This window comes from Homo sapiens, chromosome 20, assembly GCF_000001405.40.
Source record: "Homo sapiens chromosome 20, GRCh38.p14 Primary Assembly".
Classification (NCBI taxonomy): Eukaryota; Metazoa; Chordata; class Mammalia; order Primates; family Hominidae; genus Homo; species Homo sapiens.
This window is the reverse complement of record NC_000020.11, coordinates 11,309,110-11,327,564: the sequence shown is the minus strand read 5'-3', so window position 1 is coordinate 11,327,564 and position 18,455 is coordinate 11,309,110. Positions and strand designations below refer to the sequence as shown.

Sequence of the window (18,455 nt, the reverse complement as noted above, 5' to 3'; positions counted from 1 at the left end):
GTAAATCATTAAGTAAAATGCAGCCATTAAAATAATATGGTTTTAATCTTTTTGTTATAATATGTGGCATGCTTACAGAAAAGTCCACAAAAACTGAAGGTACAACTTAATGATTTATTGTAAAGACAATACTCATGTATTCACTATGCAGATCAAGAAGTGGACCAACATAACCCTGTCTTTACTAAAAATACAAAAAAATTAGCCAGGTATGGTGGCAGGCGCCTGTAGTCCCAGCTACTTGGGAGGCTGAGGCAGGAGAATGGCGTGAACCCGGGAGGTGGAGCTTACAGTGAGCTGTGATCGCGCCACTGCGCTCCAGCCTGAGCGACAGAGTGAGACCCTGTCTCAGAAAAAAACAAACAAACAAAAAAAAAGAGAAATGGGCCATCATTCCAGAAGTTCCCCAACTTTCTGATCAGAGCTACTTCTGAACTTGTTATCATTAGTTCCTTGCTTTCTGACTATGGATGCAATCCTAAACAAGGTAGCTTTATTTTTTCTTGTTTTTGAGCCCTATATAAATGAAATCCAATCTGTATGTATTCTATTGTGTCTGGCTGTTTTTAGTTACTATTTATTTGTCCATTCCATTGTTGATTCAATTTGGGAAATATGCAAGTTTTGAACTATTAAAAACAAAACAATGCCACTGTGAATATTCATGAACTTCTGTCCTGTTGCACTTGAGCACACAATTTTGTATCTGTATTGCTATCTATTGCTATGCCATTACTTGGACATAGCTATAACTTCAACTAGACTACATGCTGACAATCTATTTTTCAAATCAACTGTATCAGTTTATTCACCTACCAGCAGAATTGTAAAGTTCTTATAGCTCAAATCTCTTGCCAAATCTGTGTACTGTTATTAAGGGTCTATTTAAGTCTTTTGGTTTTTTGGGCTAGTTTTCTTTTCTTTATTAATCTGCGGGTGTTCTTTATACATTAAGGCAAGTCGTTTTGGCTCTTTGTATTGAAACATCTTCCAGATGTGATTTGCCTTTCCACTCTCTTAATAGTGACTTTTGAATAATCAAAATGGATCATTTTGATATAGTATATTTATCAGGTTTTTTTTCATTTATCTTACGTTAAAAACCATTTTCCTCCTATATTATTAGGAAAAATGTTACTTATATTGTCTTCTAAAATGTGTATGATTTTTTCTTCAATTTATCACTATGCTCCAACTTAAATTAATTTTTAAGGATAGTGAGAAGTAGGAATTCCAAATCATTTTTTCCCATGTAGATACCCACTTGTCCAGTGGCCTCCACTAAATGATAGCCACTTTCTTACTAACCTAGAGTGCCACCTGTATAAAGAAAGTGTGTTTTCAGATTTTCTGTTTTGCCTCATTAGTTTGTCTATCCAAATCTTAATGCTAATAATATCCTTAACTCTACTAATTCTATAAAATGCTAGCCAACCCTGACCGAATTATGAAACCTAGTCCCAACCCTAACTTTAATCCTAATCCCAACATGAATTCTCACCATTAACCTAATAATCGTTCTAGTACTAATCTTAAAACTAAAACTAACACTAGTCTTAAAACAAGCAAAATGATAACTCTAGTCTTAAATCTACCCTAATCCGAATTAGATCTATTCTAAATACAAACCCTACATCTAAAGCTAAGCTCAACCTAAAGATAATGGTAGACCCAATTCCTTACTTCCAGTCTAAACCTAACAGTTACCTTAACTCTATACATAACTATAAAACTAACTCTAACTTTCTGAAATTATTGAAACTTTATAGTCCTGTATAAGGTCAATTTTTATAAATTTTCCATGAGATTGAAACAAATGTATATTTTGCAATTGTTGGGTGTTGTGTTCCACATATGGCTATTGGGTCAAATTTTTGAAACGTATTATTCAAATCCTCTCACTAATAATATGATTAAATATTAATCATATTGTTCAATTTTTTTAAATCTTTGACTAGTTTTTCTACCTGAGAAAGATGTGTTAAAATGTATGATTTTAGCCCTGAAGTATCCACTTTACTTATCCTATGTTGGGTAAAAATTTGCTATTTGACCTTCTGAAATTTTCGGTCTGGGGGTATGTGTGTGTGTGTTTATGTGTGTTGGAGGAAGGAGAAATAGAGCCGAGGATGGAAGAGCTGCTTATTCTTTCAGAGGTGTCAGTCCCCATGTGAACAAGCGTGGCCTAATCAAATGAATGATGAGACCATGTGGGGACAAAGCAGAGACTATCCATGACCAGCCAGCACCCAGCCAGACACCAAACAGTGAGTGAGCCCAACCAATATCAGCAGAATTGTTTTCCTAGCCCATAGCTGACTACACATGCAGGAGGAAGCCCAGGTGAGGTCATCTGAGATTGGCAATCCACTGAATTATGAGCAATGATAAATGCTTATTGTTTTTAGTCACAGGACCTTGCGATGGTTTATGATGCAGTATTGGCTGATACAACAATCGTATCACAATGAGCTTTTGTGGTCTTTTGAAATAGAACTCACAATTTAATGGACGCATAGTGTCTTAGTCAGTTCAGGCCTCTAGAGCAGAATACCAGAGACTGGATGGCTTAAACAACAAGCATTTATTTTTATGACAGTTCTGGAGCCTAGAAATCTAAGATCTGGGTGCCATTATGGTCATGTTCTTGGTAAGGGCCCTACTGGTTCACAGAAAACCATCTTCTCCTTGTATCTTCACATGGCAGAGTGAGCAAGAGACAGAGAGAAAGAGAAAGAGAAAGAGAGAGAGAGATCTCCTGCCTATTATTTTAAAGGCACTAATTTTATCATAAAGTCTCCCAAGGGCTCTATCTTCAAATTCCATCACACTGGGAATTCTGGTTTCAACATATGATTTTGAGGGAACACAAACATTCAGTTTATAGCAGGTAGGTTCCTCACGAATATACTTACATTTGCAAATCTCCCTGCCTCACAACTCGTGCATCAATGGCTGGACTTTCGCCTATCTCACCCTGAAAATTTAAGGCCATTCAACTATCCACTTCAGAAAACAGCCATCCAGTTAGTTAGGTCATGGTTACTATGCCACCAAATGCTATTCCAAGTCCTAACTTAGGAAGTCCCATTTCACAGTGTAAGAATTGAAGGCTATTTTCCACAGACCTCAAAATCCTTGGAGAGCATAGTTTTACATTTCAGGTTTCACCTGTGTCATATTCTAACGTTGCATGTGTTTTTTGGAGACTGATTTCTCCATTTTAAACTAATGAAAGACTCCGACAAATCAGGAGCCATATGCCTTATTGGGTGGTAGTAACATTTTAAAATATGTTAATAAAAAATACGAAGAAAAAGAAGAAAAAAGAAACTCAGTTAAATATTTAATGTCACTTCTAACAATTGTTTCCATTTCTTGGAAAAACTCCTAGTATAATAAATGAAGCAAGCATTTTCATCACAAATGCATTTATTATTTCCACATGGCATGTGTATGTAAAGTATGTGCAATTATGTTTGCTTTCAAATTAGAAATGCTTTAAATCTCACACAAGGAGTCATTTCTCTTTCATCAGGGGGCCCTGCCAGCCAAGATTTTCTCACGGAAACTAGAGAGACCCAAAGCAGCCCTACAACTGTGCTCCTTGGAGAATTAGGGTCATGTCTTTGGTACTTTCATAGTTTCTTTTATTTTTTATTTTTTTTAAACCATGAAGGAATGTGTCTGTATCTGATTCAGTGGATTTCCATATCCATACCCATCCATCTTACTTTCTATTTTCCAAGTTGCCTTAGTCCTTCAAGGGTATTTCTATTTCCCCAATATGTCTACCTACGGAGAACCTATTTGTGCCAGGTTCCTTTAGACACAGCATCAATGGTCTCGCCAGAATAAATGGCATTACCTCATGCCCTTGCCTGTAAGTAAACAGAGTGATGGATCACCATTCTGAGGAAGGAGGCTAAGGACCATCAGTCCACAGCTACACTTGGATTCAGGAGCACACTGGCTTCGAGTTACAGAGTCTGTCATTTGGACCCTTGTGACCTTGGAGTTCTTCAACTGGACTTTCCTATTTGTCAAATAAGGATAATGCCTGCATGGCAAGATTGTTCTGAGAACGAAAAATAATATTTTTAAACTGATATAGACATTAATAAAGTATGATTATTTTTAATTAGCAATAGCTTTGTTGATATAGGGAGACTTATTTTATATGTCTTTTATCAAAAAGACGTATGTCCTGGGCTACACTTTGAAATCTGTGACTTCGCTAAGTTGGCTAACACCGCAACTGGAGAATGGAAGTGTATTCTAGAGGTGACTGGCAACACACCTGGGGTTCTGGACAAATTTTACCGTTCTAGAAACCCTCTTTTTCGTGCCTTCACCAAGCTCCTCACCAGTGGTATCTGCCCTTCAATCCACTACTTTTCCACCTTCTATTCATTCTGTAGTTGCGTGCCTCCACTGAGCCACTTAACTTGCAAAATTATGAATGTAATCCAAATCTCCAAGCCCAATGGATGGGTTTTATTTTCTGACCTAAGCTTTCCTATTTGACAGTTGATCATTATTTTTGAAACCACTTTTAGGCATAGGGTTCAGTGGGACTAAGTAGATTCACATTATTATGCAACCATCACCACCATCCATATCCAGAACTGTTTTCACTTCACAAAACTGAAGCACTGTACCCATTAAACAGTAACTCCTCACTCACTCTTCCCCTAAGCTCCTGGCAACCACCATTCTTCTTTCTGTCTCCATAAATTCGACTATCCTAGGTACCCTATAAGTAGAATCATACAGCATTTGTCTTTTTGCAACTGTCTTATTTAACCGAAGATAATGTCTACAAAGTTCATCCATGCTGTAGCACATGTCAGAATTTCCTTTCTTTTTAAGGCTGAATCATATCTTAAACTATTTTGATTTTGTTCCCTGTGCGTTTGATGTCATATCCAAGAAATCATTGCTGAAACCAATATAAAGTTTTCCCTGTGTTTTCTTCTCAGAGATTCACAGTTTGAGGGAGGGTTTATCTCTTAACTCTTTATTCCATTTTATTGTTTGATATGCCTGTCTTAATGTCAATACCACACTTTTTTGATTACTGTAATTTTATACTAAGCTTTGAAATCAAGATGGATTAGACTTCCAACTTTGCTGTTCTTTTTTTAAAAGATTATTTGGCTATTTGGGGTCTCTTGAAATCCCATACATATTTTAGGATGAATTTTTCTATTCTGCAAAATGTGTCATTGGAATTTTGGTAGTGATTGCATTGAATTTGTGGATCACTTTGGGTAGTATTGCCATCTTACCAAGATTAAGTCTTCCAAGCCATGTCTATGTGATGTCTGTCCATATATTGGTGTCTTCAACTTCTTTCAATCAACATTTTATAGTTTTCTGTATATACATTTTTTCTTCCTTAGATAAGTTTATTCTAAAAACCAATTTTTGTTCTATTATAAATAAAATTGTTTTCTTAATATTTTTCAGATTGTTTATTGTTAATGTATAAAAACACAAATAACTTTTGTGCGTTGATTAGGTACCCTGCAACCTTGCTGAATTATTTTATTAGTTCTAACATTGTTGTGTGTGAAATTTTCAGTTTTCTACATTAAATACTATGTTATCTAAAGATCATTCTACTTCTTTCTTTCCTATTTGGATTCCACTTATTTCTTTTTCTTGTGTAATAGCTCTATGACTCTCAGTACTATGTTGAATAGAAGAGGTGAAAGTAGGTATCCTTCTCTCATTCCTGATCTTAAAGAAAAAGCTTTCAGTCTTCCATCTGTGGGCTTTTCATGCAGATAGCTTTTTAAAAATACATAGTTCATTGCAAATTATTTTTTAATCATGAAAATGTATTGAATTTTGTAAAATGCATTTTCTGTATCAACTGAGATGGTCGTGTGTGTGTGTGCATGTTTGCTTTCTCTTCCTTCTGTTAATGTTGTGTGTTACATTCACTGATTTTCACATGTTGAGCCATCCTTGAATTCCAGAGATAAATTCTACTTTGTCAGAATGTATAATCCTTTTAATAGGTTGTAGAATTCTGTTTGATTTTATTTTATTGAAAATTTTTCTATCACTATTCTTCAGAATTATTGGCTTCTAGTGGTCTTCTCTTGTAGTGTCTTTGTCTGGCTTTGATGTGATAATACTGACTTCATAGAATTAATTAAGAAATATTCCCGCCACTTCACATTTTTAGAAGAGGTTTAGAAGTATTGGTGTTCATTCTTTTTTAAATGATTGTTAGAATTTACATGTGAAGCCATCTGGTACTTGGCTTTTCTTTGTTGCAAAGTTTTGATTACTGACTCAATCTCCTTACTAGTTGCAGGTCTGCAAAGATTTTCTACTTTGTCATGGCTCAGTCTGGTAGGTTGTTTTTCTGGAAATTTGTCTTATAGATTTTTTGTACATCCTTTCTTCCTTGTCTTATTGCCCTCTTTTACGTTTAGTTTTTTTTTTATAGTGACATATTTTGATTCCCTTCTCATTTCCATTTGTATATTCTACAGATATTTTCTTTATGGTTACTAAAGTGATTACATGCATCCTAAAGTTATAACAATCTATTTTTAACTGATAGAAATGTAGCTCCAATTCCAAACAAATCTCCAATCCTGTATAGCTTTGCCTTTACACTTTATATTACTGAGATCACAACTGATATTTTTATATACTGGGTATTCTTTAACTTATACAATTATTTTTATGCTTTGCCTTTTAAATCCTATAAAAGAATTAAAAGGCCAAGTATAAATCACAACAATAATACTAGCTTTTATATTTGTTTATGTATTCACTGTTACTGGAAAACTTTATATTTTCTTGTGGCTTTGAATTATTATCTAGCATTCATTTATTTCAAATTGAAAAAATTCTTTCTGTTTGAGACACAACAGAGATTAAGAAACTTATACAATGTTGAATACCTCATAAGTATCAGAGGCAGTATTTGACCCCATCCTTTTACCTCAATGAACATATTTCTGTGAGTTCACATAGCCTACTATTTCCTACCTTTTGGCCTATGTTCAAATCCAGATTTCCCTCTTTCATATCCACTTTCCAGGTCAACACTTACTTTTTATTCAATACATGGAACCTGGAAAAATATTACTAGTAAGGACAGTAGTAGTAATAATAGTAGCAATGGAAATAATTTTAAACAATGATAATGGTTAATGATTGTCAGGTAAGTGCAACACATGCTTCTAAGTACTTCAAAGGCACATTTGTTAATTCTAAGTATATATTCCTCTTACAGCAAGCTCATTATTCTTAAAAATATCTTCTCTAAATCTTATTGATGTTGCATTAAAATATATGATGCAATAGGCTTCCAAATGTGAAAACATTATGAAATTGAAATATTAAAAAATATGTTGTATATCTTTCTTAAATTTAGATTATAAACTCCTTGTGAGTGGAAATTATCTTAATCATCTTGTGTTTCTAGTAGTGCCTTATATATATTTTAATAAAAAAATTGTCTTTGCCTCTCATTGAATAAATAGAGATAATGAGACATAAAAGTGTAATGTCCAAAAAGTTAGGTCTTCACTAGTCACATAGTATTATTTCCTTAAAATTGTCAGCAAAGATGTTTAGAAGTAATTTTCAGCTTTTAAATGATAAAATACCAGTTAATCTTCTTAAAAAGAGAAAAATCTTTCTACGAAATGGAGTTTACTAAAAATAGTATTGCAAGCTGAAATGAGCATCAGATTGGCTGTTCTCACCTGAAAATCAGTGCATCGGATTCTTAATATCCAGATTCCTTTAAAATCTAAAATACAATGATGATGATGATCAAGATGATAAGGAGAGTGATAAAAACAATAAAGAATACCTTGATTATTATGGCCAAGTCCATCATGTAAGATATATCTTACTTTACACAGCTTCTTATTCTGATATTTTTCTCACTTATTATTGGGAAAAATGTAACTTTTGTCCACTATTGCAGAGTTAAGAAAGGAAGATATTTGCCAGCCAAAGTCTTTTAGCAAGCTTAATGTTTGGAAACCTGAGACTGGTAGATTGTAAGTCAAATCTACCAGTCTTCATATCTAGGGATGTTGCTCATGTCCATCATATCTAGGGATGTTGCTCATGTCCATGACCTTCAAGTCACACTTGACCCTCTCTTTTTTATAACTGGTATTTAATCAATCAAGGAACCCTATGGATTTTATCTTAAAAGTAGACTTAAAATCTAACCACTGCCACTTGTACCACTCTGGTCCAAGTCTCAATATTCTCTCATCTAGGGTTCTTTTTTAAAGAAATAGTTTTATTGAGGTGTAATTAATATATACTATGCTGCACACATTTAATGTATACAATTTGATGAGTTTGAACATATGCATCCACTCATGAAAGCATCACTACAATAAAAGTAATAAGCATATTCATCACCTCCAGTAGCTTCCCCCTGCTTCCATGTGTGTGTGCCAGGGGCTGGGTGGGAGAGGAGGGCACTTGAGATCTACTCTCTTAAATTTTTGAGTGTACCATACAGTATTATTAACTATAGGCAATATGTGGTTCAGTAGATCTCTAACACTTATTCATCGTGCATTACTGAAGCTTTATAACCATTGAACAACTCCCTATTTCTCCCTTCCCCCCAGCCCCAGGCAACCACTATTCTATTCTGTTTCTATGAGTTTGACTATTTTAGGTAGCTCATCTGAGTGGGATCCTGCAGTATTTGTCCTTCTTTGACAGGCTTATTTTACTTAGCATAATATCTTCCAGGTCCATTCATGCTGTTGCATATGGCAGTATTTCCCTTTTTTTTTTTAAGGCTGAATAACATTCGTGTGTGTGTGTGTGTGTGTGTGTGTGTGTGTGTGTGTGTGTGTATTTCTTTCCATTCATCTATTTATAGACATTTATATCTTGGATTTTATGAATAATGCTGCAATGAACATGGGAGTGCAGATATCTCTTCAAGATCCTGATTTCAATTACTTTGGATAAATACCCAGAAGTGGAATTGATAGATCATATGATAGTTCTATTTTTAACTTTTTGAAGAACCTCCCTACTGAATTCTACAATGCTGTACTGATTTACATTCCTATCAACAGTATACAAGAGTTCTGATTTCTCTACATCCTTGCCAACACTCATTATCTTTTTTTAAATAATAACCACACTAGCATATGTGAGGTGCTATCTCATTTTAGTTTCGATTTGCATTTCCCTGGTGATTAATGATGTTTATTGCAGCACAATTCACAATTGCAAAAATGTGGAACCCACCCAGATGCCCATCAATCAATGAGTGGATAAAGAAATTGTGAGAGAGAGAGATATATATATACACACACATATATATATACACACACCATGGAATACTGTTCAGCCATAACAAGGAGCAAAATAATGGCATTTGCAGCAAATAGATGGAATTCAAGACCATTATTCTAAGTGAAGTGACTAAGAAATGGAAAATCAAACATCATATGTTCTCAGTCATAAATGAGAGCTAAACTGTGAGTATGCAAAGGCATAAGAATGATACAATGGACCTTGGGGACTTGGGGAAAGGGTGGGAGGAGGGTGAGGGATAAAAGACTACAAACTGCATACAGTGTATACTATACACTGTAAGATTTTGGTGACGGGTCCACCAAAATCTCACAAATCTGCACTAAAGAACTTACTTTACTCATGTAACCAAACACCACCTGTTCCCCCCAAAAACTTATGAAAAAAAAAAGAAAAAAAAAGAAAACAACCCATCCCAAACAGTGAGAATAAAAAAAAGACTCTGAACAGCCAAACTAATCTTGGGCAAGAAAAATAAAGCTGGAGGCCTCACACTTTCTAATTTCAAAATATATTACAAAGCTACAGTAATTAAAACAGTACAGTACTGACATAAAGACAGACATACAGACCAATTAAATGAATAGAAAGCCCAGAAATAAACCCACATTAATATGGTCAACTGATCTTCAACAAGAGTGCCAAACATACACAATGAGGAAAAGATAGTCTCTTTAGAAAATTGTGCTGAGAAAACTGGATATTCACAAGCAAAAGAATAAAACTTAGACCCATATACTTTACAGAAAATCAGCTAAAAATGGATTAAAGACTCAAATGTAAGACCTGTAATTTTAAAACTCCTAGAAAAAAAATGTAGGGGAAAATCTTCTTAGTATTGGTCTTGGCAATGATTTCTTTGATATGGCATCAAAAGCACAGGCAACAAAAGCAAAAATAGACAAGTGGGACAACAGTAAACTAAAAAGCTTCTGCACAACAAAGGAAACAATCAACAGAGTGAAAAAGCAGCTATGGAAAAGAACTGCGAAAAGAACTGCAAACCATATATGTGAGAAGAGCTTAATATCCAAAATACATAAGGAACTACTAACACTAATTTGAAAAAGACACAAATAACCAAAATGAACGAAGGACTTGAACAGATATTTCTTCAAAGAAGATGCACAATTGGCCACGAGGTTTATGCAAAAGTATTCTCTCATCTAGGTTTCTAAGACAACCTTTTAGGTGAGTGAATTGCTTCCATTTTTATCTACTCTCATCAAAATGGCCTAAGTGGTTCTTGTAGGCTATCAGTCAAATGATGTCACTGTCTGTTCAAAACCTTTCAGTGGATTCATGTTTTAGTTGGAGCAAAAATGAAAGGCCTTAACTTCTTCTGCCTACTCTCCTCCTACAATTATTCCTCTGAACACATCTCTTATTCATCTCCTTCTCACCCTTTCTATTCCTGTCACACTGGCCTCTTTCTGTCCTTGAAAAAAAAGTAAACATGTCCCCTGACATAATTCACAGGCATTGGCTGTTTATTTAGCTAGCAGTGTCTTCTCCAGATATCTACACAGCCAACTTCCTCCTCTTCTCCATGTTTCTGCCCAAAAGCCAACTGCTCCATGAAGCCCACTATTTAAAGTTGAGATCTACATCTTCCCAGATTTCCTTCCTAATATTCCTTTAGTCATTGTTTTTCTTACATTTATGGCACCACATTCTGACATCATATGTCAGAACTACCCAATGTGTAGTTCCCTCACCAGTAGCATCAGCATCACCTGAGAGCTTGTTAGAAATGCAAACTTTGGGGCTCCACCCTAGACCTGCTGAATCAGCATCACCAGAGTGGGGCACAGGGTTCTGTATTTTCACACACCTTCTAGTTTCTCATATACAGTAATGTCTGTGGAAGCATTGTTTTCTGTTCTTCACTTATTTATCACACTTATTATTCACTGCTTCTCCTGATGGAATGCAAGCTCCACAAGGACAGAGTTTCTTTTGTGTATTTTGTTCACTGTTTTTAAGCACTTAGAGCCAGATCTGGCACATAGTAGGCACTCAATAAATGTTTGTTAAATGAATACATTCTCTAGTACTTAATTTGAGAACAAATAATTTTCTGTTAACATTTTAAAAGTCATGATTTGAGATATAATTTACATAGAGTAAAATTTAGTCTGTTTAATGGGATAGTTCTATGATGTAGAGCAGTTCATCATCTCTAGATATTCCCTTGTGCCTCTTTGTAGCCAAACACCCCACACAACATGATGATTTTAGTTAATAACAATGTATTGTGTAGTTGAAACCTGATAAAATAGTAGATTTTTTGTGTCCTTACCACAAATAAATGGTAAGTATCTGAGGTCAAAACAAAACACCCCATACACATACCCAGCTCCTGGTAACCACTGATAGTTTCTGTTTCTATAGTTTTCCTTTTTCCAGAATGTTATATAAATGGACTTATGCAGTAAGTAGCCCTTTGGTCCTGGCTTTGCTCACTTAGCATACTGCATCTGTGATTCTCTGTGTTGTTGCATATGTTAATAATTCCTTTTTTATCATCGAGTAGCATTCCATTGTAGGGATACAACACAATTTAGTTAAACATTATAACACAGTTTGGTTAAACGTTCACCAGTTGAAAGACTTTTGTGCTGTTTCCAGTTTTTGAAGATTATTAGTAAAGTCACTATAAACATGTGTAAATAGGTATTTTTGTGAACATAGATTTTTATTTCTCTTGGGTAAGTACCTAAAAGACAGATTGATTATATAAAAAGTATATGGTTAACTTTGTAGGAAACTGTCAAACTACTTTCCAGAGGGGCTGTACCATTTCGTATTCCCACCAGCAGTGTTCATATGCATGGGAATGTATGTATGTGAATCTTGGTGTTTCTGGATCCCTGCCAACATTTGGCATTGTCAGTTTTATAATAATAATGGTGATGGTGATGATGATAATGTTGATGACAACTTTAGCTATTCTAACAGATGTGTATTGTTAGTTCTTTGTGGCTTTAATTTGTATTCCTAATGGCTAATGATACTGAGCACTTTTTGTAACTGGGTCATCCGTATATCTTGTTCATTGAGTGTGTATTCAGATTTTTTTGCCCCTTTTAAAAAGAATTGGATTGTGTATTTCTTTGTTTTATTTACTTTTTATTGTTTAATTTTGACAGTTCTGTATTCTGACTATAAGTACTTTATCAGATATGTACTATGCAGATATGTTCTCCTGGTCTGTGGCCTGGTTTTTCATTTCTTTAAAAATGTCTTTTGAAGAGTAAAGGTTTTTAATTTGGATTAAGTCTAATTTATTATTTTCTGGATTGTACATTTGTGTAACATATAAGAAATCTTTGCTTATCCCAAAGTCACATAATTTTCTATTTTTCTATGTTTTCTTCTAGAATTTTTATTGTTTTAGGTTATAAATTTAGGGAAGGATCCATTAAAAATTTTTTTTTTTGCATATAAATGGGCGTCCAAATATTTTAGAATGATTTTCTTAAAATACTATTAATATTTTAAAACTCAAGTACCATGAGAGATTTCAAAAGGTATACATAGACTTTTTAAATAGATTCATTGAACAGAATTAAATTTACATATTTAGCATACCAAATAAAATGTAAACACGATCCTACTGTCCCAGTGTTAAATGAGGTTTTGATAAAACTTCAAGAGATGAGTAAGAGACTTTTAAGAAAAGAGCAAAGCGTGGAGAACAATGCATGAGAAATTCTAAAATTAAAATTCTCAAAATGAAACTTGAGAATATTAGAAATGAAACATTAGTCAAAGCACTTGGTGGCAAAAAAAAAAAAAGATCTTATTTTAACTTAAGTAGAAAGTAAGGGTAACAATGTATTCTCAAAAACATTCAGTAACCCTGGAAAGGAGACTTGAAGAGGTATCAAGAGGAGCAAGGGCTTAGCCAAGACCTGGTCATGACAAGTGGTCCAGGAAGGGCCACTTGTACCATCATGGTGTTTGTACCATTATCTCTGGGCAGTTCTCCTGCACTGCTGCACTATATATTTGTCCCTGTGCTGCTAAGTAACCATTCCCAGAACACAGTTCAATATCACTGAACTATCAACTCTACAATGGCTATCACAATGACTTACTGACCCTGTGCCATTTCATCACATCCTTAGAATTCACAGTCCCAAGTAGGAGTCAGTCTCTGATTGATCATATTTCAGTGTTAAGCATAGTCTCCAGCAGACATGAGGTGATGAAAAAAATATCCAGGTACCTTTGACATTCATAGTAGTGGGATTCCTCCTGAATATAAAGCCATTTTGTCAATTCAAAACTGAAACCCCAAATTTCCACCATGATAATTTTGGCAAATGCCCTAATTTTGCAAGAAAATTGCATTAAAAAACAAACCCCTTTGAGACTCTATAATGAGAGAAGGCTTACCTAAAATAAATTTAATATAGCTAAAGTATAGCCCATTTGACCCAATCCCCATCAAATGTTACTCTGGGAAGAGACTAGCTTGGTGTTTTCCACCAAAGCATTGCCAGTTGCTCAAATTGGCAGTCAGGCTGATCTACCTTGTGTGGCAACTTATGAGGTACTGGGAGGAACTAGAGGCCAACTTTTTGAGAAGAGCTCTATGAAAACACCCCCTGGAATGTAATACTCTCAGTGTGCCTATAAAAATTTATTCTGGCATTGGTCAGCTAGAAGCATGCACAAATGCCTACTGGTGAGCATAGCTACCCTTCTTTCCAGGTAATTGTCATCTTTGGCCAAAGTATGAGAAAAAGAAATGCCAAACATGAATACCTTCCCGCCAATTGTACATATCTAAAAAAATGAGAAGACAAAAACAATATCTGGGGTTACTGCAGCTGTTGCATAATTTAGTTTTTCGATAGGACTATAGCTCAGTTCTGTGTGTCTCATTAATTCTGTTGTTTTGTTTGTTTGTTTTCTGATGGATGGATGTGGCAGTTGATGTTTTGGAAAGTTTCCCTGTTTCTGCAGACAAGTCTTCACAACTATGACTTCTTAGACATTTGCTTTGCTGAAGAATGGACATCTTTGCTAATAGAAGTAATTTTTTTTTCCTTAGGAGGAACCTTGAAACAGTAAGGAATTCAGCTTCATATATCAGAGAAGAAATAAATTTCAAGAGAGCCAGCATTCTACCTTCGGGCAAGAAGATTTTATTCCCATTTGGCAGATGGAATAGCTGAGGTCCAGGAAAGTTAAATATCTTGGTGTCAATGTCTCCAGTCATGTAAATGGTGGAAGCTTTTTTTTTAATTCAGTACTATCACATATAACATACCACATGGCTTGTATCAGTCAGACTAGCCCCAAATTTCAATGTCTTACATCAGTGAAGGTTTTCTATTTGTAGCCCATGCTACCTCATCCAGGGCTGTGCGTTTGGTTTAGATGTTTTTATTCACAGGTGCAGACTGATTGAGATACATCTATTACTAGTTCCATTGCAGAAGAAAAAAGAAAAAAGAAATTATGAAAAGGCATATGCTGGTTCCCAAGCCTTTGCTAGGAAATTACACTTATCACTTCTGCCCATTTCATGGCCAAAGCAACATGCATGGGGATTGAAGAGGAGAACATATTACTTCTAGCTGTGGATTTGGCAAGGTTTCCTGGAGGAAATAGGATTTGAGCTAGATCCTATAATACAAATGGATTTGATAGATTTGGGGCAAATGGAGACTTTAGTAAACTCATTTTTCTTAAATAATTATGTTTCATATTGGGCCTGCTTAGATTTTCAACAGTTCTATACGTTAATGTATGTGGTTGAGAGATGTTTTGTAAGTAGGTGAACTGAGGCATCAGGATGCTAAAACAAAGTTCATGTTTATGTGAAAAAAAAAAAGGATGTAAAAATTGGAAAACAAATCTCAGTTGTCCACTTCTGTTCTGTTTTTTGACCCAATATCTTCACTAAACTTTAGCTCCCAAAGAAATATCTGTTGGTACAGGGAGTAACCGTGTACTACTTTTGCCCATTAGAGTACTGTAGTATCTTAAAAGAAGATCATAGAATCAGGTACATGCTTAGACTCAGGTTCTTCCATCTGTCTCTGGGGAATCAAACACGCTATAAATAGAGGGTGAGATTTTCCTGGCTTTGGCCAATGTAATTACTTTTGTTCCGGAAATCAACAGGGTGGGACCTAGATGGCCCTTCACTCCCCAGCCAAGTCACTGCTAACAAGTGAGACTAAATTGCTTTTCTCTCCTTCATTCATGTGGCTCCATCTGTGTAGGCCAAATAGATTAACCTCTAATATCTCAAAACAGATGTCTGTTGTTGGAATTGTCATATGTGTACAACATGTTCCACAAGTCGGTAGGGATATTTTGGGCCCCAGGGTGTGTAGCAACATCATCTGGGTGGGGTTTTCCAAACAATCAGTGTGGGTGAGGGTGTGATGCTGGCAAGGGTTTATTCTATGTAGCACCTTCCTCAATGGGAGAACCATGTACAGGAAACTATGCCAGGTGACTCCAAGGGAAGAAAATGAATGCATTTGAAGTTTAATGTGTATATTAGTCAAGGCTTGGTCAGGAAAACCAAAACCATACCAGCTATTTTAACAGAATGTACTTAACGTAGGAAATTGGGTGAGTACGAAAAGGCAAAACAGAAACATTAATGCAACAGACAGAGTAAATACAGGGACGGCTATCTGTCCTACTTTTTGCAGGAAAGTCCTGCAAAGCTGCAACCCAGGCCCTTGAGATGGTGGTGCTTTCTAACTATTCCTGATTCCTCAGAAATGCAAACAAGTGGCCCTGTAGAGCTGATACTCAGAACTATGACCCATTGGTGCTGGTACCCATAAAGGACTGCACTGAACTATTCCTCGGAGCATGAGGGAAAAGGCAACTGGAACATTTAACTGCCTTTAATGTGGATACCAGGGCCCCACTCCAGACCTGTTAACTCAAAATCTTAGAGTGGGTAGTCCATGCATGTATATTTTTAATAATCTTTTTAACTACTTATCAATGTTGTCAACACAAGCAGGACCGTCATGCCCTCAGCCTCTTTCCCAAAGGATTTTCAGATGTTCTAAAGTGATTTTGTATGTCTATGAATTATCTCCAGTTGTGCTGACCTAACCGGCAACTGGTGGTACATATATAACAATATATTTGAGCTGTCATCAGCCATACCTTTTCTCAGTGGATACTAGATAGTCAATTGCAAGATCTGTCTCGGTCACCTTGCCAACATTATTTCCAGTGCTTGCATCAATCCGGGGAATTAGCCAGGGGGTAATTAATTAACCATTCACTTAGTGCGTCTTATGCACCAAAAAAATAGGCTAGGAACAAACATCCAACTTAAATAAAAACCAGCACAGTCTTGGCGCTTTTGTGGCTTTCATCTGGTGGGAGGGATTAGCATTAACAACAATAACCAGAACACATTAATCAATATGCAATTGCAAATCTAGGTACAGTTTAAGAAGAAAAACAGGATATTATGATAATTATTTGCAAAAATGACCCTAATTGTTCCACTCAATATAACCACACAACTTGTAACATGACTTTGCAGCTCCTCTCATTGACAGGTAAAGTCTATTTCTTCATCCCCTTTAAATATGAGCTGGCCTTGCTTTAGCCAGCTCGCGAGACTTGCTTTAGCCAATAGAACCTTGTGGAAAGGCATTGAGTAATGGAAGCAACCCAAGTGTCTATCAATGGATGAATGGATAAGCAAAATGCAGTATCCACATAAAATAGACTATTATTCAGCGATAAAAAGGCGAGAAATTCTGAAGTATACTACAACCTTGAGAATATTGTGCTAAGTGAAATAAGCCAGTCACAAAAAGACAAATATTTTATTATTCTACTTGTATGAGGTACTTAGAGAGGTCAAAATCATAGAGACAGAAAGTAGAATGGTGATTGCCAAAGGCTGCAAGAACAAGAGAATGGGGAGTTGACGGGTATGGAGTTTGAGTTTTGTAAGATGAACAGAATTCTGGAGATGGATGGTGGTGATGTTTGCCTAATAATATGACTATATTTAATATTACTGAACTTTACACTTAAAAATGGTTAAGATAGTAAATTTTACATTATAGGTATTTTAGCACAATACAAATGAAAAAAAAAACCTAAAAAAAATTTTCTCCTGAATTATCTGATTCTGATTCTATGAGGGGCTCTGGACCTTTCATTGCTTTAAGCTATTTCATAATCCTGTGCAGAGCAATTTTATAACTCTGTATGCTGTACAGCACTAAAGGCAATGCAATTAATTCTTGTCTGTACACATGCAAATAAATTTTATATGTGGATGAACAACCCCTTTCCTGTGAAAAAGCCAGATTTGAGCAAATTGCAATTTCATTTCTGTGTATTCAGTATACTTGACCAATAGTCTATTATTTTGATTTGTACTCATTTTTTACAGCTTTACTGAAACAAAATTTATATACCATAAAATTCACCCATTTTTCAAGTGTACAATTCAATATTTTTATATATTTATAGAGTTGTGCAATCATCAACAAAATCATTTTTAGAATATTTCCAACATTTTAGATGGTACGAGGTTTTTGTTTGTTTGATTTTTAAATTTCCAACACAAAAAAAAACTTTGTAGCCATTAGCAATGGCTCACCAAACACCTGCCCCAAATCTCACCCCAGGGCCTTGACAAACACTAGTCTAATTTCTGTTTCTATAGATTCGCCTATTGTAGACAATTCATATAAATGGATACATACTATATATGTTTTTTTTCTGACTGGCTTCCTTTATAGTATAATATTTTTTAGATTAATCCATTTTGTAGCATGTATAAATAGTTCACTACTTTTTAATGGCTAAATTATATTTCATTGTATATATAAAACCACATTTTATTTATTATCAACTAGTAGACATTTGTATTGTTTTTACTTTTTGCTATTATGAATAATGCTGCTATGAACATGAGTGTACAAGAGTTTGTATGACATATGTTCTTATTTTTCTTGGGTATATATTTAGGAATTGCTAGCCCATACGGTAACTGTATATTTGACATTTTAAAAAACTGCCAAAATGCAGTATGTACAATTGCACCATTTTACATTCCCACAGAAATGTATGGTAATGCCAATTTCCCATGT

General features: G+C 35.2%; 1 long non-coding RNA gene across 1 annotated transcript in view; it reads left to right on the top strand.

The window, feature by feature from the left end:
- Positions 1 to 17,757, top strand: part of LOC105372529 (uncharacterized) — a 117,487-nt gene extending 99,730 nt beyond the window's left edge. Inside the window, exon 3 of the long non-coding RNA XR_937261.2 lies at positions 14,405 to 17,757. This is a non-coding gene — a long non-coding RNA (uncharacterized LOC105372529). The remainder of the gene's footprint in view (positions 1 to 14,404) is intronic.
- Positions 17,758 to 18,455: the final 698 nt, after the last annotated feature.